At 36.6% G+C, this 24,102-nt stretch overlaps 1 long non-coding RNA gene across 2 annotated transcripts in view; it reads left to right on the forward strand.

Moving 5' to 3' along the window:
- The window catches only part of LOC105374686 (uncharacterized), a 55,146-nt gene that overhangs the window by 22,360 nt on the left and 8,684 nt on the right, over positions 1 to 24,102 (forward strand). The window contains exons 2-3 of one of the 2 annotated variants that reach the window (XR_925850.2): positions 4,704 to 4,734; positions 16,218 to 16,305. This is a non-coding gene — a long non-coding RNA (uncharacterized LOC105374686). The remainder of the gene's footprint in view (positions 1 to 4,703; positions 4,735 to 16,217; positions 16,306 to 24,102) is intronic. The other variant, XR_925849.2, reaches the window with a different exon arrangement.

A 24,102-nucleotide genomic window follows, 5' to 3' on the forward strand; every position in this document is an offset into this window, starting at 1 on the left:
TTTTTATTTTTAAATATGAAAGAGAATTTAATATTGTAAATGCTTGAATAAATTCTACAAAATAGTCACGTAGAGGGGGAAATGACCCATACTATAAAAATCTGTCTATAACAAAGTCACTGCTGGAAATCGAGACAAAATTTCCCACCATACAAAATTCATGTTTATGAATATTATTTCCCAGATGGGTCAGTGAAGTTCTTCAAAGACACAAATTCTACTCAGGCATATCACTGACACACTCATACATCTCTCTAATATGGAAGAAAGCCATTAGGCTATCTTGGGCAAATTAAGGTTCACTTTCTCCACATGACGTTTCCTTCCTGGAGCCACACCATGACCTGAAACTGTTACAGGATTACCAGTTCAAAACCTAGATATACAACACTAGAAAGATCTACTAATTTCACAATCTTTGCTTACAAATCATCACCATCACCATCAGCAAACAACATCCACACACGCTGAGCTCAAAAACATCAAAATCCAAACATCATTTGAGCTTTCGTGGTAAAATAATAATTATAATAGTAGAATAATCTATGGTATCTGTCAGTATTTTTCTAAGCGGATTTAGCTCACATTGGACAAACATCCAAAAAAAATTGGTAGTTCAAATTATCTAGAAAAGTATTCCATGCAATTATAGACTATCTGAAGAATATAGAGATATCCTGGCTACTGTTCATCCCTTATCTCCTCTGGACTCCCCACATGGCATCTTCGTGTGTAGAAATATTCATATCCATGAGGAAGAACCCTCTGGCCTATATTTGAATTCCGGAGCTGTCCTCTGTGTCTTTATTGACTTTTTTGCTTTCTACCATGGCGATTTTTGGCTAAGATTGTGCCATTTGCCTTCCCCACGTATGGCATGAGGCTATGTTTGACTTTCATTGCCACCTAAAACTCTGGAGGAATTTGAGAGGAAAACATGTTGCCTCAGGCCCTCTCAGTCTGCCAGAATAGGACATAATAACTGACTTAGTCCATTCAAGCTGTCATAACGAAATACCTTAGACTGGGTAATTTATATACAATAGAATATATTGTTCACAGTTCTGGAGACTGGGAAATTCAAGACAAAGGCACCAGGAGATTTGGTGTCTGCTGAGGGCTCATTCTTCATAGATGCCTCCATTTGACTGCATCCTCATATAGTGGAAGGGCCCAACAAGTCCCCAGAAACCTCTGTTATAAGGGCACGAATCCCATTCATAACAGCTGTGCCCTTATGTGGGGATCACCTCCCAAAAGCCTCACCTCTTACTACAACTTCTTTGGGGATTAAGTCTCAACATATACATTTTGGGGGAAAAAAGCATTCAGACCATACCATCATTATTCCTACTTTATGTAGCAACCTCACTTTGAATATAAGTTTTATAATTTTCATACACCTACTTTGTGTTGTGTAAATATTAACTCCATTACATATGACAATTCATTAGCTGATCCTATGAATATCAGTATTACAAATATCAGCCTTTCCTTCAGATGACTGTTCTCTTTGCCTAATTGGGAGAGCAACCACTTTGAGGTAAGCCTGTGATTCTACGTGAAAGAAATAATAGGCAGAATCCAGTGGTCTTTCATGTGTATAAGAAACAAGAGAAAAAGAGCAAAATGTTATTGTTGTAACTCCTTTCTAGCATTCTACATTTCTAGAAGAAGTGAGTCTCTCCTTGGAAAACTAAGGCCAATTTCAGAATCCTAGGCCATTAAGGATCCTAGGCCTTGGCTCCAAAACAGAAGACCTGTTGCAAGAATAATTTGGATTTAAAAAGAACCTCCACAAGTAATGACAATGCTAAGATTAGCTTGAAACATCCAAGGAAGCCAAAGAGTGAATACACTCTGGCTTCGTATCAGTTAGGCTCAGCTAACTCACATTTTTCCTTTGAGGCAGAGAGCGGAGGCCAAAGACCAGCAAACAACTGGGTTGGAGAGGGGCCTTATGATGCTTAATTTTATGTGTCAACTTGGCTAGGGTATGGCACCTAGATGTTTGGTCAATCACTAGTCTAGGTGTTACTGTGAAGTATTTTTAGATGTGATTAACATTTAAATCAGTGGACTTTGAGTAAAACAGATTAGCCTGCATAATGTGAATGGACCTCATCCAATCAGTTGAAGGATTTAAGAGAAAAAGATTGAGTTACCAGGAAGAAGAAGGAATTCTGCCTCCAGATTGTCTTTGGACTTGAGATTGCAACATCAACTCTATCCTGGGTCTCTAGGTTGCCAGCCTGCCCTTCAGATTTTGGACATTACAGCTCTCATAGTTGCATGAGTCAATTGTTTAAAATTAATATCTATGTTTCTCTCATACACACATACACAAACACACACATATGCACACACACTATTGGTCTTGTTTCCCTAGAGAACCCTAGACTAATGGAGACCTGCAGGAAGATTGGGGTTGTGATACTAGTCTTCATTTAAAGGAAATGTTGCTACTCAAGTACTTTCCTTCTCCCACACCAGCTTTTCACCAAGTGTTGGTAAGAATCACCTGATGCTGGCGGGGCATGGTGACTCATGCCTGTAATCCCAGCACTTTGGAAGGCCAAGGTGGGCACCTCATGAGGTCAGGAGATCGAGACCATCCTGGCTAACACAGTGAAACCTGTTCTCTACTAAAAATGCAAAAAAGTAGCCAGGTGTGGTGGCGGGCGCCTGTAGTCCCAGCTACTCGGGAGGCTGAGGCAGGAGAATGGCATGAACCTGGGAGATGGAGCTTGCAGTGAGCCGAGATCGCGCCACTGCACTCCAGCCTGGGCGACAGAGCGAGACTCCATCTCAAAAAAAAAGAATCACCTGATGCTTATCCTCATCCTCATGCAATGTTTAGTTTGTCTATTCTTATACTGAATACCTTTAGTTGATGGTCTCAGTGTTGGGGAAAAAAGAAGACTCCTGAAGGAAGAAGCAAACACCTGATAACAATGAGGTAAGACTTTCAGCCAGTATCCAGGTTCATTTGGCCAAATTTCTGATTCATCCTGTTGACCCAGTCAGGGCTTGAGTGTTGATGGACCCTACTCACTCAGACTCACAGGGCTCCTACTAGCATTGTTTTGTGAGTTTTAACCATAAGCTGTTTTTCCCCGGTCCCTGGCAGAGACAGTCCACAGCCTCTATGACTGAATGGCTATGGCACTTACAAGAACTGTTCCACCTTCTTTCAACTCTTTAAATTTTACATTCGATGGAAGCATTTAAAAAGTTCAGGGTCCCCTCCATGCCAAGAATAGGCAGAAGGAAATGTAGTTATAGAGACTGGTCTCTAGTCTACCCTCTCCAGCTAAAAATGATTTCAAGCTGCTTCATATTGGCCCAAGATACCCTGGGAGGTGGTAACCTCCAAAGATCACTAATGGATAGAGACATTGGACTAATGGATAGGGGAATTTGGAATTCCTCTCAACCAATTTTTTTAATGCCTTGTAGACACTAAATCATGGTGCAGCAGGTATGCAATTCTCTCTTTAGTGAGTGGACATCCCCAGGAAATAAGGATGACTCATGTTAAGTCTTCTAGGCATGTCGTATACTTCTTTTAAAAAGCTATTTTGACTCACTTTTGAGGATCTACCTAGAGGCTAGTTTATCTTCTTGACCAGTTGCTTAAGTCCACCTCACAACCTCTTTTTTCACTGGGCTCTCACATGCGAGGGCCACGATGTTCCTCCCCTAATCACCCCAGAGCCAGGTGACAGGCAACTAGGGACAGCCTCTATACCCCAGAGCCCAAGACATTATTCAAATTAGCCAATTCACTGGGAGCCTGAGCAACTTAGCTCACTCCACTCCACTTGCCATACGTGAGTTGTCCCCAGCAGCTCCAGATTCTGTTATAAGTCTCTGGCGCAAACCCTTTGGTGGCCCTGCCTCGAAGCCTTCTCTATTTCAGAGTCCAAAATAACACACAGTTCTGCTTTTATTCTATTCTAGTGTCAGTGTGTTGTGTCTCACTATCAAAAGGATATTTAAATCCTATAAAACAGCATGCTAATGAAATAGACACAAGGAAACTAGTGTTTTTGAGAGTATTTATATATTGCTTTTAGCAGAATGTATCAAGTCTGTCCAGATTAGTCTGGGATAAGAAATCCTGGTGCCTGACTCCTTAGAAAATGTGATGTGTAGTATGTAAACATTATACAATAGAAATGTTTCATAACTGAGATGACCTCTACTTTATAAGTGGTGTAGACTCACTCATAACATAAAGATTTCATATGTTAATCTAGGCTATGGATATTGTAAGAAAGGGCCTGAGTAACTACATTGATTTCTTCTTGCTTCACTGGTGTCTTAAAATCATTAATAAAATTGCATGCTAAGTCACGTCTTTTATTCTTGTGATTCTCATAAGCAGTCTGATATTTTGTACTTTCTCCCCTGAGACAAAATCAAATCAAATCAAAACAGAAATTACAACATATTAAGTAAACAGTCCTAAGGAAAAAAAAGTCACAATGTTGTGTATAAAAGATTTTCACTATTGTATAAAAGAGTAAGTTCCTATCCAACTAATTGCCTTACAAATAATAAGACCTCTGGTAAGTCTGTAAGAAACAACTGCCCGAGAGCTGCAGAAAGTGAAGAAATGCAGGCAGATTTTAAAGGTGTTGAAATTTTCAGTAAATGACCAGCACTTTCTTGTTTTCTGTTTTTGTTTTGTTTTGCAGATACACCCTGAAAGAAACTGCAGTTGTGGAGGTGAGGTTATGTTTCTAAGTCCTTCATAGAAAGCCTCCATTTGTTTTGGTTGAAGAAATCAAGGGAATAATTCCAAGAGCCACAGAAAAGTGAGATAGTAAACTAGACAGGAGAAATACAGAGGAAATAAACTCAAAGTTTGTCTAAAACTATGCCCAAGTCAGGCTGATGCACAAATAACACTTGAGCAAGACAGACTAAAAGCTGATATAAACTTTAGCCCAACATAGATATGTCATAGTTTGAAATATAAGCAAATTAATTTCCTATAATAAAAATATCAATATTAGCTGGAGATACATAACGGAATTTAGTGTTTCAAACATAATATTAAGTATGTTCAAGATACAATCTAAAATTTCTTTACATGAAAAGACTAAGGCAATGTAATCCATTGTCAACGGAACATACACTTTCCAAACGACTACTGTAAGATGATTCAGACTATAGAAGTATGAAACAAAGATTTTAAAGCAGCTATTATAACTGTTGCAAAATTAGCTAGAAAAACACATATTTATGATGAAAAGAATAAGAAATCTCCATAACAGAAACAGAAAATTAAAAAAGAACTAAAGAGTTCTAAAATTGTTAAAGGAAACACCATTTTAATAAAAAGTAAATCACTGGAAGGATGTAAAATGAAATAAATAAACACTATCTTAAAAAATTACTGGATGGCTGTAAAAGCAAAACAAAAGCAGAAGACAATAAGTCAATAAATTGGAAGAAAGATTAAGCAATCTGAAGAAGAAAGAAACAAACTTGGGAAGAAACCTAGAACTTCAGGAACATATGAAACAATATTGTATGATGAGTCCAACATACAGACAATTAGAGTCTCAGAAAGAAAGAAATGAGAAAGAGGAGATTAACATAAAAATAGAATAGCTGAAGACCTCTCAAATTAATTGAAATATATACATTTATGGGATTAAGAAACTAAGCTACACATAGAGTAAATACAAAGAAAAAATCCTAGGCACATTACATAGTCAAAAGGCTGGGGAAAAAACAAACAAACAAACAAACAAATACAGAGATAAAGAGAAATTATTGGGTGCAGCCAAAGAAAATATACAGATGAGCAATAATTTAAATGTCCATAGATTTCTCATCAGAATACGCAGAGAAAAGAAGACACTAGAACTAGAATTGTAAATAGATTAAAGAAAAAATGAACTGAGAATTCTATATAAAGCAAAAATATCATTCAAGCATGAAGGGCAAATGAAGAGTTTTTAGATGAATGAAAAGCTAGCATAGAATTAAAACTGTCATAAGAATGAACATGTAGACAATTGAAACAGAATTGATAATCCAGAAATAAAACTTTTTATTTATGGTAAATTGATTTACAACAAAGGTGCCAAGGCAATGGCAATTTTTGAGAAATTGTGCAGGCTCAACTGAATAACTATATGGGAAAAAAAAGTTGTCTGTTACCTAACACTATACACAAAAATTAATTTAAATTGGTAACAGACCTGATGCAAGTACTAAAATTATAGCATTTCTAGAACTTTTCATAGATGGCATGCAAAAAATCATGCATCATAAAAGAAAAAAACTAAGTTTTATAAAAATTTAAACTTTTGTTGTTCAAGAGATGCAATTAATAAAATTAAAATACAATACAAAATAGGAGAAATAGTTGCACTATATGTACTTTCCAAGGGATTTTTGTTTTTAAATATATACAGAACTCTCAAAACTCAATAATAAGATCAAAGTCAACCCACATAAAGAAAGCTTAAAGGATTTGAAAATATACTTCACCATAAAAGAGATACAAATGGCAAATAATCATATGAAAATATATTTTGTGTTGTAATTAGAAAAATGTAAGTTAAAACCATAAATGAGACCACACTATATATCTGTAAAAATAAAAGAAATTATAAATCTAGAATATCAAATTTGATGAGGACATTTTACCAAATAGTGTTTCTCACAAACTTCTGGCAGGAATGTTAAAGGATACAAACGCTTAGGAAAACAGTTGGCAGTAAACATACAGCTACCAAATACCCAGCCATTCCCCTTTTAGGCATTCACTTAAGACAAATAAAAGAACATATCCATAAAAAGACATGTGCAAGAATGTTCATGACAGCATTATTTGTAAGAGACAAAATTGAAAACCAACCTAATATCCATCAACAGGTGAATGGATAAACATATAATGTAATATAACTCAGCATTAAAAACATATTGATGCATGCAACAATATAGATGAAGCCTACACATCATTAGGCCAAAGTGAAAGGAAGCAAAAGAATACAGATTTGATTATTTTATTTATATAAAAGTTTAGTAAAAGTAAATTAAACTATAATGACAGGAGACAGATTATTGGTTGTCTGGGGTTTGGGACAAAGAGACAGATACACTGCAAGAAGATATGAGATGTTTTGGTGGTGAAAAAATAGTCTTCAAATTGTCTGTGTTGTTAGTTGTACAGCTCATACTCTGAAATCATACATTCAATGGCCTATTTTAAATGCCTAGCGCTCATTGTATACAAAGTTTTTGTTAATAGAGTTGACTAAAAAAAATTGGAGCTATAGCTAAATCTGAAAATTCAAGGTTTCAATCCTCAAGTACTCATGTAACTTAAAAAACAAATAATGTAAATAAATAAATGATGTGCCAATCTCAAGAACTGGGGGGGCAGGGCAAAATAAGCCTATGGGAAGCAAAGGGAAGTAATTGATAAGCATAAATGCATATTAACGATTAGAATATACAAATATAGCATTAATAAGTAAATTTAATAGCTAGCACTATGAAATAATCCAATTAAATAGATAAACCAATAGCTAATCTAATCAAACAAGAGAATACTTACATAGCCATACTGAGGAAACTAATTATAGGACAATATTTTACTCGACTCTGTTCAAATAAATTTGAAAATTGACTTCAAATTCTCAGAAAATATAAATTACCAGGAGAGCATACAATGTAAACAAACCAATTACCATGGTAGGATTTGAGAAAGCTGTCAAACTGTTCCTCTCCAAAATAAAACAAGACTCAAATTTTACACAAGTGATTCTATCAAACCTTCAAGATATAAATATTTTTTAGTGTTATTTAAATGTTTCCAAACAGAAAAAGAAAGAAAAGCTCCCTCTCTTGTTTCCACCAACTTCTCTTTTTAAGAAGTTAACAAACATGTCTTTACTTTTTTGTATATGTTCTTGGCTTCTTCAAATGCTTACTGATTGCAGTAATGGGCTAAGTGGGTGATGGGTGGCTGCCATGGGCCAAGGGAACTATGGACAGCGGCCATGGAGTTCCTCTGTACATATGTATGCCTGTTGACTTCATGTGATTTCCCTTATCTCTGTCGGATGACTGACTGTAACCTCTGTGAAAATTGAGGAGATGAGTGAACAGGAATGCTTTCCTTTAGGAAACAGAGTGGTGGCAGACAAATCATGCTTGAACACCTCAAAACTGTTAAACCAAGAAAAGAGTTTCTCTGGAACTAAAGCAAAAGGGTATTTACTACTGAGTTGAGCTGCTATCCTATTTTTCTCTTCTACTCTTCTGGGGAGAAATAATCCCGTATAATTAGATGCTAATTCTTATAATCCCCTTTTTTCCATTGAAATAATTAAATCAATTCATTTTCTTATCATTTGTGTCTAAATTCAGTTCATTCATTATTTGAATTTTAATATAAAGTGACCTATTATGAATTAGTTGACTTTTATTGACCATAAAGTATTTTAATGGTTGCTGTCTATGATTTTTAGGGTTTTTCCTACTTAAAACATATTTATTTTTGTGTCTCAACCCACCCTACCTGAAAGCAATTATAACGTGATCAATGCTGAAGAAAAGGAAATGAAAGATGAAGCTGAACTTCAGTGAGCAATAAATAGTAGAACATTTTTCCAGATTTTTTATTGGAACAAAATATACATAAATTAAATTTTACTACCTTAATAATTATTGTGTACAATTCTGTAGTATTAAGTGCATTAGTATTGTTGTACAACCATTACCATTCTCTATCTCTTGAACTTGACTAGATGCTTTGAAAAATGAATAAATATAAAACTGCATGGTGCTACTTAAAATTTTTTGTGAGATGTTGGTTGCAGGGAGAGAAGAGAAATATTTTAAATGTTTCAGAATAGTCACTCACAATTTGAATTGTAATAGTTTTTACAACCATTCATAGCTAGTTCTACCATTATAATAATCAAAACAGCTCAAATTAGATGTTTCTTTCTTGGAGAAAATTATTTCACCACTGTCAAAGTACTGATTATATAGATATGGTTAGAAGTAACACAACACCTTACAATTTAGGTTTTATACATAAGACTTAATTATAGAAAAAATGTAACTCAGAAATTTCAAACAAATGTATAAAATGACTCATTTTGCAGATGGTTACTACTTCAAAGAAAATTGCTGCCAAGAAGCACATAAAATTTTAAAATAAAAATCAGTATATGTCATTTCAAAGTTTTCTGAATCATTGGTTGTTATTGATGAAATAAGAATTACAAATTGCCAGTTTTCAATAGACTTAAATTGGTGTTTGTGTATATATGTACATTTAGTGTATGATAACTTGATAACTTTTTGTGTCTGATGTCATACTCCAGAGTTTAAAAATAAATTCTCTTGAATCTTTTGTGTTTGGCTTTCTTCTAAGTGTAAGTTTTGTATTTTAATCATAGAATGCACCATATATATCTCAATTTCACTTTGTATTTATATTTTACTTATTTAAAAGTAAGACATATCTATGTATTTAAATATTGTTTTATTAATTTTTAACAGGTAGTTTTTTTCTCATTTTACAGTAGTCTTACAGAAATAATAAATATTTTAAATGCATAGTGTAATTGCCATCTAGAAAACGTGAGAAAAGGGAGAAGTCAGAGTCAGTGCTTTTGACCAACTAACAATAAATCAGAGCAACAAAAAGCATTTTCTGGCTGGGTGCAGTGGCTCATGCCTGTAATCCAGCACTTTGGGAGGCCAAGATGGGTGGATCACCTGAGGTCAGGAGTTGGAGACCAGCCTGGCCAACATGGCAAAACCCCGTCTCTACTAAAAATACAAAAATTAGCCAGGCATAGTGGCGTGCACCTGTAAACCCAGCTACCCAAGAGGGTGAGACAGGAGAATTGCTGGAACCCGGGAGGGAGAGGCTGCAGTCAGCCAAGATCGCACCATTGCACTCCAGCCTGGGCGACAGAGCAAGACTCTGTCTCAAAAATAAAATAAAATAAAATAAAATAAAATAAAATAAAATAAAATAAAATAAAATAAAATAAAATAAAATAAAATAAAATAATAAAATAAAATAAAATAAAAAGCATTTTCCTCAAATAGTTTGCTCCTTTTGCTTTACAAATTTTGCCTCTATCTCCTCTCAGAAACTGAGTTAAGGCTTAGTCCAGTGATTGTACTTTTAAAAGTAATACTCTCTAATTTGAAGCATCTCAGCATGTATGCATGTTCACCATCTCTCATGGCCTCCTACGTCAATGAGATTTGGCCAAGAAAACAGAAACCGCACTAGATATTTTAGATGGGAAGGGATTGAATATAGGTGGCTTATTCGACCATTGGAAGGCCTGAAATAGAGAAGGTTATAGAGACTTCTGCTGGCCCTGAGGGAACACAGGAGTACAAGGGGTGCAGGACCACTGTCCTGGAAGAATTCAGCTGCCTGAACAGACTGAAATGGAAAATTTTGCTGAGGACAGCAAGAAACCGTTACTGAAGCCCCAAAACTGCTCTGATAATATCCACTGGTCTGTTCACAGCTTCTGCTGGTGAATAATTACTTTTGTTTCTCTTTCAATTTCTAAATTGTACATGATTGTCTCTGGCTACAAGAATCTAAACTGGAACCCTGTGGGTTAGGGGTCCTGGAAAACACAGATTCCGGCTTCTCCTTTAAAATACAGCAATGAATGTAGAAAATACAGAGTTGGTAAAGGTCATTCATCAGCATTCTGACTGAAAAACTAAAAGAGGAATGTTTATGGAAGTTAAGATATAAAAACTCATTTCTGAGCTTTTTAGAGCAATAAAATGCAACCCCATTTTCCCCAACTCATACGAAGTGTGTTTAATTTACATTTGGGTACTGTCTAACATAATACCAGAAAGTCAAACCTATTTCCAATGCAGTTAGTTGTTTCATGAGTTCAGAGGATGGCCCTTCATATATTGCAGTACATATCATAAGTCTTGGGGATACAGTTACTTCAAGAGGCTCACACATCTGTGAAAGAGATGGGGAAGTGAAACAAATGTTATAAAATTGCCTTACAAATGATATGGTAAAGGTGTGTAGACGGCTGCAGAAAATCATGCAAGTAGCTAGAAGCAATTTATTATCAAATGAGTATGATTTCAAATTTAACTAAAACAATGAGGCTAATTTTGCCAAATAAAACTCAGTTTTATTACATTCAACTAAATAATGAGCTGTCTGATGTGTAACTGAAGGATTTGCAAGCACATGCTCAATTTATATTCAGTAGCAGACGTTTTAGGATTACAAAATTAGAAAAATTTTAAAAGATTACTTTGATTATCCCTTTCTCAGAAGCTTAAGACCTTAAATCCTCTCACTGGTCCCAACTAGTAAGGTAGATTAAATCTTTCTTACTCACACACAGATTTATAATTATTAGTGTTCCACACAAAGTAGCCATAGTCACTTAGAATCAGGATCAACTAACATTTTAGAGCAACTATAATGCTCTTGATTGCCTGGGACTTTATTTTGCAAATTCATTTAATTCATTTGACATCAAAGAGTATACAGAACATGATATTGATATTTGTGTGTGTGTGTCAATGTATGTGCGTGTATGTTTGTGCTTGTATTACCAACAATCTACCATGTGCCTCTCTACTTCTATTATAACTCCTAAGTCTAAAATAATTATGCCTCTTTCTTTCTTTACAATAATCTATTGAGGTTATAGCTATTTCCATTTTACACTTCAAACATAAGGTTTGTGATCCATATTGGACCTTCCAGTTAGCTTATTTCACTGGTAGAAGTATAATTTCCTATATCATAATTCTTAAAATTGTAATTCTTAAAAATCATAATCATGATTCTTACCACATTTGTACTTGTTCAATCTACATCAGAACCTCCAGGCATTTTAGAAGTTAATATCCCCATTATACCTCATCATCTACTCTTCAAACTATCTTAAGCAGTCATAAGTAGGGCTATCACCTTAGACTAAGTTGCCTGGAAATAGACTCTGAGATGGGGTGCCATGTGCAGAATTGTATTAGGAGGAGCCCTGAGTATCACTGTGAGGAAGGAGGGAAGGCATAAAGTGAGCATGGCAGAGCAAGACGCTCAGCTGTGAAGCACTGTAGTCAATCTGGTCCTGAGATGACCTTTCCAGGATATCCCAAATTGAGGCAAGAGGGCTGGCTCTTTGCATCCAAGGTTGGCCCTTGGCTGGTATCTGGGAAGCTGGATTTGAGGATAGCTATGCCTTCCCTAACGGATAAGTGTGATTCACTACGCCTGAACTATTGCTGCAAACAATATGATTTAGTATGATTATTTGCTTTTCTTCTGGGAGTCTGAAATTTTGGTGCATGCCAAGAAGAGGGTGCCTATGTGATTAGTCCCCAATAAAAACCCTGGGCCCTTATTTCCTAATGCGCTTCCCTGTTAGACAACATATTACACATGTCACAATTCTTTGTTGGGGAAAATAAGCAGTTCTGGAGTGACTCCACTGAGAGCTCATGGCCTGATTTCCTCTGGACTTTCCCCCATAAGGCTTTTCCCTTTGCTGATTTTGCTTTATATCCTTTTACTATAATAAATTATAGCCATGAATACAATTATATGCTAAGTTTTGTGAGTCTTATTAGCAAGTCATCAATACAGGAACTCATCCTGAGGACCACACCCCAGGAGAGAGCTTCAACTTGCAGAAGGCAGTTCCCTATAGCAGAGGACAAATCTTAGTGATGACGCAGCTTTGAACACTAGCAGCCTGTATCTCCAAATGTGTGAAGCATGAGTGTGTCCGACTCAAAGAAGGAATCCAGATAAAAAATCATTGTATTGGCCCAGCACGGTGGCTCATGCCTGTAATCCCAGCACTTTGGGAGACCAAGGCAGGTGGATCACCTGAGGTCAGGAGTTCAAAACCAGCCTGACCAACACGGTGAAACCCCACCTCTACATATATATATATATATATGTAAAATTAGCCGGAAGTAGTGTCAGGTACCTGTAATCCCAGCTACTTGGGAGGCTGAGTGAGGAGAATTGCTTAAGCCCAGGAGGTGGAGGTTGCAGTGAGCAGAGATTGCACCATTGCACTCCAGCCTGGGTGACAAGAGCAAAACTCCGTCTAAAGGAAAAAGAAAATCATGTATCCAGTATGTAAATACCTGTTTCACTCAGGTCCATGTGTCTCTTCTATAAGTGTGCTGTCTCTGTAAAGAGCTTTTCCAGAATTCTAGTTAGTCTTGTTTTCTGGAGCACTAAAAAAAGACAAGTTAGTGGGATGGAAGCACAGCCTCTACGGCTACAGTTGAACTCAGGTGCATAACAGAGGTTCATTAACCCTTCTTTGCTCTCTTTCTAAGGGACCTTCAAACTCTGAGGGCACCTTTACTTGTTTAAGCAGTTTTCTTGGTGAAGATCTCCCAGAATTCCATCCCCGATGTTTCCAAATCACCACATACTATGCCTTTCTCAAACTGTGTTTCCTAAACTATCAATTTTTCTTTAAAACCAGGCATAATATCTTCAAGGGATTCATTGGTGGATCACCTGAGCCCCAAACCTATTCTTCTTTGATCATGTTATATAATAGCAGTTTTACCTCTTTCTTATGATCGGAAAAAAACTACCCTTATAAGTAAGGCAGATTTTTATTTGTCTTCTGGTCTTTCGGCATAAGGAGCCTAAAATGATAGGCCACTAGCTGTAACTTAAAATTCTGTAGAACTCTTGCTGTCTGTCCTGGTTGAAGCATTCATCTTTTAATGCTTCAACTGAGCCCTCTCAGCTTAAAAAGTCCAAAATGGGCCGGGCGCGGTGGCTCACGCCTGCAGTCTCAGCACTTTGGAAGGCCGAGACGGGCAGATCGCGAGGTCAGGAGATCGAGACCATCCTGGCTAACATGCTGAAACCCCGGCTCTACTAAAAATACAAACAAATTAGCCAGGCGGAGTGGCGGGCGCCTGTAATCCCTACTACTCGGGAGGCTGAGGTAGAAGAATGGCGTGAACCCAGGGGGCAGAGCTTGCAGTGAGCCGACATTGTGCCACTGCACTCCAGCCTGGGTGACAGAGCGAGACCCCGTCTCAAAAAAAAAAAAAATTCCAAAATGAAATGGAGAAAAGTATAAATAACCCAAATGAACCAATGGACTCACTCTTACTTCCATTCCTTGGTTTCCAAATGTATATATTGTGTTGCTTGCAAGCACTGAGCCATACACATACAATGGTCAATAATTTAGGGTTTAAATTATATTCTGGAATACTGAACTTTATAATATCAAAATATTCTTTTCTGTCTCATACTTCAACTACATCTTTAAAAAGTTGTCTCTCTATTACATCAGGGTGGCACCTTCTGGGTGAACCAATATGATAAAACAATCAGATCCCAATACATGGCCAGTTGCCACTGCTAATTTAACATAAAGCTGATCTCTTGGCTGGGCACGGTGGCTCACGTCTGTAAATCCCAGCACTTTGGGAGGCCGAGGTGGGCGGATCACGAGGTCGAGAGTTCAAGACCTGCCTGGCCAACATAGTGAAACCCCGTCTCTACTAAAAATACAAAAGATTAGCTGGGCATGGTGGCAGGTGCCTGTAATCCCAGCTACTCAGGAGGCTGAGGCAGGAGAATGGCTTGAACCCGGGTGATGGAGGTTTCAGTGAGCCAAAATTGCGCCATTGCACTCCAGCACAAGTGACAATGTGAGATTCCAACTCAGAAAAAACAACCAACCAACGAAAAAGAAAAAAATCGATCTCTTGTTCTGATTCAATGTTGTATGAGATCTTGTGTCAATAGATTGTGATTATGTTGACAATGGCCCTGTAGGCAACAAAGAAAATCTTATTCTAGGAATACATGTCAGTCTTATCCAAGGTGATTTGCTGTTCGTCCAGAGTAGGAGTCAAATGTAGTTAACTTGCCACTAAACAACTGATTGCTTTCTTCGACGTATGGCTTCATACTGAGGGGTCAGGTTTAGTCTCTGTTACTGGATAAGTAAGAGTATCTAGATCAGACAAGTGGCAACCTATACGTTGTGCCCATGTCTTCCACAGAACTTCTCTATTCTTGTGCCCATAGTCTCATCACTGGGTCACAAATGACAACAGTGACTGAGATCAATGGGCTAAATAGTTCTATTTGATTAATTGCAGATATTTCCTAGTGGTACCAAACATGACACAAAGAGCTTTGCATTGCATGGTCACTCCCATAGGTCCATATACATACCTCTTAGCCAGAAATTGTCACTGATCTTCCAATTTTTCTTCTTTCATGCCTGTGTTCAGTAATATAAGCCATCTGCCACTGTCCATGAGCCCAGATATATTCTTGCTGTATGCCACATTTCATTCTGCACAAAGTGGATGTCCAAGTGCATCATCTGAAGCTCTCCATTAGGGGAACTTTTCCGGCCTGGTCTCTTGAAGGCCTCACCTTACTTGGACTATAGCGTGACTCCAGTCTGCTTTTGGCTCATATTGTATCTTTTGACTCTCCTCATCCCTGGTCCTGGATATACCACTTCTGTGTTACCATGGATTGCTTTTAGATTGTTCTGTTTTATAATTTGATAGATCATAGAGAACTCAGTGTTGGCTGAATGGTCACTTGGTTTACAGTGATTAGAAACACCATCTCTGTAACATGCCATGGGTGACTTTTCTAATGTGTATCGTTTTCTGCGTTAGTTTGCATGACTTTGCTCTAATACCCTAAACTTTTACATTGTGGTTCTCTTATTGGGGATTTATATTAACTCAGTATTAAATCCAAAGATATCTTTGGTACCATACATTTGCTGGACCAGATAGTCCAAAGCACAGAGCAATGGAGCTTGGGCAAATTGCCAACCTTATTCTTCTTTGGACCATATGCAAAGATGTAGCCTTCTATATGTCACCCCGAAAGTCCCAAGTGTGAAATATGGTGTTCCTTAAACCTGAAAAGGCCTTTGCACTTCCTATCTAGTGTGGGAGGGCATGCCCATTTATATATCAGTCCACTTGATGCTGAAAAATTTTACTGATATGCCAGGTCCCTGAATCTTCATAATATTTACCTCTCATATATCTTACTTTATATTCTCCACCCCCGATACAACATCCTGTGCAAATAATTCATCAAACCTCTTTTGGCTCCTGCTAGTACGGATTGACCAGGTACTTCAGGTTCTTTGCATATGATCTTTTCTTTCTTTCTACAGGTTCAACATGTCCTCTGTCAAGATACAGTGATCTGATTGCCAGAAGAGGAAACTGGTATAGATCCTGAGGGCAAGCAATGTTTTTATTGTAAGTCATTTGCCTCTCTTGGGGTTTCTGCTGGGTTTTCAGGAAGAGAGGTGTATCATTTGATACATTTGATAAGGGCAAGAGGGGAATATTTGGAGTTCAAATAATATAGAACAGTGGTTCTCAACCAAGAGTGATTTTCTGCTTTCTGAGGGTGAGCACACTTGGTTATGGCTGGAGACATTTTTAATTTTCACAGCTTGGGGGAGAGGGGTTTGGAGACCTGAGATGTTGCTAACAATCTTACAGTGCACAGGTTTTAGCCTCCACAACTAAGAACTATTCAGTCCCAAATGTCAATAGTGCCAAGGTTGAAAAGCCTCAATTTAGAAGAAATGAGAACTTATTTCCCACATTTACCCAGATATTTTAAGTATCAGGGGCCTACGTTTTTCCCTAATAGAGCCCTGAGATTGGAATAGGAATCCTACTGGGATAAGGCTTCATTCTTCTTTAAATCTTTGCTTCTCTTATGATTAAGTCAGAAACCTGTTTTGCTACCCCATCTATCCTGGAGGGAGAAATATATGGGAGATTTATGTGGAAATTCTCCTGTGTGATGCACTGTAAGGTGGAATTGAGCAGAGGAAGGAGCTCATGCTGCAGTGTGGTTGCATCTAAGGACTCAGCCAGTACAAGGAGGTATCCCTTAAGAGACAGAGATAGTCCAAATTGAGTCAAGGGGTGGTCTTTTGTTTTCCCACATGAACCTGTCAGTAGCTATGGGCCACTCCCCTGAAAGAAAACTTCACTTTGAAGAAAACCAATTACCTGTGAGGGCCACAGCTGTAAGCCATTAGCAACAGCTCTTTGAAGGAGGTAAATGGTAAATGTACCAACCCCAATGAGGGAACCTGTACAGAGCAATACAAATATCCACTACAGCCATCAAAGTCATCGACACATGGACCAGTGTCCTGGCATCAATGACAGAACTATCCCAAAATGTAGACAAATAATTGAGAAGGAAGAGAAGTAAAAAATTAATTAATTAATTAATATTTCTATTTAGAATCCTAAAGCATTAAATAGAGGTAAAAATAAACACTAGATATGGGTGTTGGTAACTATATGTTGGGTAGAGGAGAAGGCAGAGAATGTGGATTCGTGAATGTTTATTGAGACTTTTCCATGTGTTCAGAAGTAAGAAAGGCAAGTGAAAAGTAAATAATTGACAAGTATAGTAGTCTATATTTGAATTATACTGATAAGAAAATTATAAGTATCAAAATTATATTCATGATACTTCCCTTTTTTGAAGAGAAAAATGTTTTTAGAAAGCAAAATTTCAGTGTACACCAGGTGGTATCAGGAATAATACATATCTGTTGTTTTGAAAATTATACTCTTCACCCACTGTGTTGACCTTTTTTTAAAGATTCTGCCATATGTTTTTCTCAAGCAGGTTGGTGACTAAGCAGGGAAACACTCTCCAAAAAAAATTTAAAATTTTAATTTGAAGTGATGAATTATAATTTTGGTTGCTTAGCCATGTTTTAAGGCACAGTATGCCATTTTTTCATTTTCATATAATCTCTTTAGCAGAAAATGTGTATGTGCCTCAGAAAGTGGTGTTTTAGTGTCAATATCTATTATTTGTAATTCATAATATATCTCTTTTAGCCATGTTGATATAAAAACAATAGATTTTATAATTGTGTTTGTTTCAATCTTTGTCAGCACCTCCAAAAATAAATTATAAAAGTATTTATGAAAAAAAACAGTTGTATAGATGCTATTCATAATTTTTTTCTTTCCATTATGTTTGAGGGAATATTACCATTGTCTTAGAGCCAACGTTTTTATTGTCTCTGCTATTTTTCTGTCCTGAAACTTGATCTTTAGCACATATAATACTCATTAACATCTACTATTTCCCTCATAAAATATAGCAAACTCTATTCAATTATAAAGGTAGATGTTTTCACAAATATTGAGTATGTCTTAAAATTTGCTGAAGATTTGGAAATATGACTTACGAAAATCATAAAACCAATTGCATATGTTTAATAGTTTATAATTTAATAAACTTAGATCAGTGATTCTCAAACCAGGGCAACCGCTTTCCCCTCCAACACATACACATGCTAAGGGACATTTGACAACATCTAGAGACACTTTAAATTGTCACAATTCAGGTGCATACTTCAGGAATAGATGCCAGGGATGCTACTAAGCATCTTACAATGCACAGGACAACCCTTCCTCCTTTACAGTAGTTGCTGTAATAAGTAATAATCAGAATTCTCAAATTTGGCTCCAAACTGTAATAGTACAGAAGTTGAGAAATCCTGTTGTAGACATTCCGATATTTAAAATACTAAAAGCATTTTAAAATACCAACTTTAATAGAATTAATAAGTGAAACTTGATAATAGTCTTGCCATTGATAAGACAATTTTTGAGATTTTTGTTCTTGCTTTAAAGTTTTCAACCTATTGCTTTCACAGTATTTTGAGTTAATTCTGTTAATAATATTAAGAAACATTATTTCTGCACCAAATTCCAACTTGACTTATGGATAATATACAGAATGGTTAAACATATATACAATTATTTTGTGAAGCTCAAATTTCTCATTAATTAAAAAATACTATAATAAATATTGCATTGTATTATTTAACTTTTTTCTATTCCTACCATTTGAGAATTCAAATTTTCTTTTGTAGTATATTGTTTTAATTATTGAAATAGTATTGAAATACATTTTTGATGTTCAGCTTGTTTGATAAATGCTACTTTCAGACTAAATTATATATGGTCAAGTAAAATGGTTATTAAAATTAAAACCAAATGAAATAATAAATCAGCCCATTAAAGTAGCAGATATAATGGAGTGTGCAGCAGTCTACTATTACTTATGGCTCATAAGTAAGAAAGAATGCTTTTGAGGTTGCATAACACATGAAAACAGAAATTTTGACTTAATTTGAAAGTGACAAAGAAAGTTTTCATTGACTTGTGAAAATTGCTTTCTTTTTAAGCTCCAGTATGATTATAGTTCAATTTTCCAACCATTTTTTATATTTTAATCATTTCATTTCTTAAATTATCCCTGAATTGATTCCCTTTTTGTTCTTTTTGTTAGAGCAAAAGTCATATTTACAAATCATATTAACATATCTACATTTATCTGGTACTATATCAGATTAAATTCCTCTTAAACATAATTGTGATAAACTTTTTATAAGCAGATAAAAATTTTCTTGCTTTATGACAGAGAAATATATGAGGAACAATTATGCTCTCAATTATTTTTTATAAAGCAGAAAATTTAACACCACTAAACCAAAAACTAGAAAAGCATACATTTTGTTTTTCCTAGATGTAGCTGAATGTTGATAAATATCTAGGACATTCTGTTCATATAAAAACCTTTAACACAGTCTGATTAATACCCATATTTTAATTTGAGCATCTCTGGCAAAAATAATAAAATTATTTTTAAAAATCTCACAAAAGTGTCCTGTCCTTTGATTCTGTAAAGGTACCCATACTGCCTAAATTGCTATTTTAACTGACGTTATGCAAAGATATATCAGCAGAATTTTAACATCGGTATGGATCAACAATCTGTGATCTCGAATGGAATTATAGGTTTACACAGATAGTAGTTGCTATAATGAATGATAATCAGAATTCTTAAATTTGGATCTAGGAAAAGACTAAAAAAATCAATAATTGCGTTGCACCATCATTTTTTAAGCCACCAAGTTGAGTATTTTATTATTTGCACCCAAAAGGACCCTAACTATTAGACAAAATATTGGATCTTAGAAATGTGACAAAATCATATTCAACTGCATGTGGGGTATGCTGAAGAGAAAAACAGCTTAGTGAATGTTTAGTTAAAGCATATGTCAGTGTATATTAAAGGAAGAATAATGTTGGCCTGCAGGAGAATTCATAGCTTGTTGTATGCCTCTATCCTTTCTATAATTTTTTCTCTTTACCTACTGTTTGTATGAAACAGAATCAATGAATAGAACAATATATTGTAATTCAGACTGAGTAAGAGATAAGTGTAGGAAGACCTGTGTGAAGAGAAATAGAATTCAAATCTATTTGGCCATTAGGGCACTTGTCTTTCTATGAGGTTAGAAAGGTAAGGAATGTCAAGCTTCTTATATTTCCTCATAATGAGAAGGCTTGGAAAGGACCATGAAAACCTACTCTTTCCTATTGTTGTAAGAAAATTATTGCTCTTGCTTGTTGGGAAATGTTTATGGGACTAGGCTAGAAAAGAGAGATAAGTTAAGTGATAGTGCTTTTGTTGCAACTCTAGGATTACTTCTAGCCTAGGGAAAGGGATGTCTTGACTTAGCTGAGTAGTGTATGGGTTTGGAGGCAAGGCTCCATTCCTTTGCCTAAACTTAAGCCACCGTTAGTTGTGTACTTTATTATCTGTTTGGCCTGTATTTCCTACAGGAACTTTGAGGTAATTAGTTAAGGACCCAATTCAAAAAGACTTAGCCTCATTTTACAACGTCCACTTATTTTATAATTTCTTTTTTTTTCCCACTGTTGCCAAACAAATAAAGAATAAATAATTATTGCCTCTTTATCAAGTACATGTATTTGAAAGAATGGCAAATATACAGATTTGATAGAGTATCTAATGAAAAAATAATTTAAAAATGAATTACTCTATCAAGGGACAAGTACATCCCAACAACTGTTTTTAAAAGACACGTAAATGTCTGCTGCAGAGAACGTGGCCTTGCTTATGAATTTCTCTTGTGATCCTACCAACAGGGCTTGCCATTAACTCTACCACATATCTTTTTCTACCACTGATCTTTTCAACGCCTTAGAGAATGCTGGGAGTGCTGCACCACAGCCACCACAGCCTGGACCTACTGCACAGTCCTTTCTTGCTTTATGCCTCATCAAAGCAAATAGCCTTTCACGTCACCTGGTGTATAGTCCAGTGTATCAGTCAGTTCTCACACTGCTAATAAAGACATACCCGAAACTGGTAATTTATAAAGAAAAGAGGTTTAATTGATTCACAGTTCCACATGGCTAGGGAGTCTTCAGAAAACTTACAATCATGGCAGAAGGCACCTCTTCACAGAGCGGCAGAAGAGAGAATGAATTCTGAGCAAAGGAGGAAATGCCCCCTATAAAACCATCAGAACTCATGAGAACTCACTATTGGGAGAACAGCATAGGGGTTGCTGCCCCCATGATTCAATTACCTCCCACCTCCCACCGGCTCCCTCCCACAACACGTGGGGTTTATGGAAACTACAATTCAAGATGAGATTTTGGTGGGGACAAAACCAAACCATATCATCCAGAGAAAACAGAATGAACAATGGATTAATGATAGTAAATGTACGTCATGTAGATCCATACTTGGGTGAAGGACCAAATCTAAAGCTACTGATAAATAAATAGATTGATTTCAATCTGGAAGAAGATGTTTAAACACATGCTAGAAGAGCCTGTCCACATTTATATCAGTTCCCAGAACAGAGATGGCAGGATGAATGGTTTCGAAAGTGCAACAAATTCAGAATGCATTAGTAAGTATATTAGGTTACAGAGTCAGAATGTGAAAGAGTATTGATGCATTAGATGGTCCAAAGCAAATTAAATAAAATGTAATAGAAATAAATGTAAAGTACTGTATCATGCTTAGTTCTAAAGATACAACTGCAGAAATGTGGAATGAAGAAAGTAAGTCTTTACACCAGCATATGTGAAAAAGATATATGACTTCTAGGTGACTGTAGCTTTTATATGATTCTGTTGCATGCAGTGAAAAATGCAAATTTGATCTTAGACCCTATTAACATAAGTGCAGAATACAGAGTGAGGAATCTGATGATCCCGTTGTAACTTCAGATTCAGAGTGCATTTAGGATAAAAAATCCAATTTGCATGCTAGGTTTTTTAAGAAATGTCATCTAAAGTAGAATACGTTTAGAAGTTTCAGAAAATGCTTTACTATAGTCAATAAAAAATATATATAAAGAAAAAAATTAAAAAGGGAGTTTTTACAAGTATTTAAAATGCTTTGCTTTAGAATGACATATATTGGATATATATCACACAATTCCAGAGGGAAACAATAGGTAGGTGCAAACAAAGAATACATGTGCAGAATTCTCATATAAATATAGAAAAATTTTAAATATTCAGTACAATAATGATGTGGGCCCTGTGTTAGTTGGGGTACCTTGGAAATCAGACATCAGGTGATAATTAGAATGTAAGAGGTTTAATGAGGGAAATGACTTTGAAAAATAATGAGAAGTGAAAACTAAGAGTAGGTTATGAGAGCTATTAACCCATGATGCAGGTCTGATAACCTGTGAAATGGGACCAGACAGGGAGGAAAACTGGGAAGGAAAAGACTTCTATCGCAGTGTAGGTCTTAGTAAACCTCAGTCAAACTGATGGGAATCCCCAGAGGAGTCTGTCAAAAGAGCCATTCGAAGAGTCACATTTTGTGCCGGCCGCGGTGGCTCACTCCTGTAATCCCAGCACTTTGGGAGGCCAAGGCAGGCTGATCACAACATCAGGAGTTCGAGACTAGCCTGGCCAATATGGTGAAACCCTGTCTCTACTAAAAATACAAAAATTAGCTGGGCATGGTGGCAGGAGCCTGTAGTCCCAGCTACTCTGGAGGCTGAGGCAGGAGAATCGTTCAAATCCGGTAGGCGGAGTTGCGGTGAGCCGAGATCACGCCACTGCACTCTAGCCTGGGTGACAAAATGTGACTCTTTTCCATCTCAAAAAAAAAGAAAAAAAGAAGAGTGGCATTTTGGAAGACAAGTTGGGGTTCTGGGATGTGTGCCTCACTCAGCCATTGGTGAGGTACAGTCCTGGGAGGTTTTACCTTCAAAATGAACATTGGAGTATTCCAGAGTGTGGTGGTTGAAGAATGATAGAGCTCTTATTACGGTTTGATAGTTTACTTTGTTTGAGAATTGGATTATTTTTTATTCTGTGAAAGAAATCCCTTCTCCTTCATGACATGCCCCATTTGAGATACTGTCATAGAAAACTTGCTAATCCATAAGCATCAATTAGAACTTCTAGAAAGCAGATGCTGAGATTAAGTGAACAGTAAAGGTTAATTGGGGAGTAGCATCTGTGAAAGAAAAAGAATGTGGCAGAAAAGTTCAGGGGGAGCCAAGAGACCATGATGCATATCTCACAAAGTCTCTGCCATCTAAATCAAGAGCTCTAGAGCAAAGATGGCTCACTAGAAGGGTCCTACGTCAAGTGTAAATGACAAGATTTTGTTAGTACAGTCTTGCTTAGTCATGGTCTGAAGCCATCTTGAGATGTATGACCTCATTTTCAATACAGAGGCAGAATTGAAGAAGTTAATAGCCACGGGCTGGCAGCTAACCACACTTGCCACCTGTCATTTCCTGAAGCTATCTGGAGGCTACAGTCCTCTATTTGTTCATGTAGTCCACTTTTCTACCCACGTTTAGGCAGCAGCTCCTCTAGAGTTCCAGTGATTATCCTTTCCTACATGTAAATTTGGAAGAGAGAGGTTAGTGGAAACAAACTACAGCTCTCATTCCTGTGACTGGTTCAGGGACTGCAACCCATTGTATTCTTTTTCCACTATCCATTCTAAATTCCACGTATTTTCAGCTGTCATCTCGGCTGGTCTTTTGGCTGCTGTGGGGCTGTGTAACCTAAATCTTCATTTTAAGCATTAGAACCCATGATAAACACCCTTCTACAGCAGGGGTTGCTGTACTTACCTATTGACAATCACAATGGGGATATAGATTGCTAATGGACAGCCAAGAGCATCACCTCGGT

Source organism: Homo sapiens, chromosome 5, assembly GCF_000001405.40.
Source record: "Homo sapiens chromosome 5, GRCh38.p14 Primary Assembly".
Taxonomy (NCBI): Eukaryota; Metazoa; Chordata; class Mammalia; order Primates; family Hominidae; genus Homo; species Homo sapiens.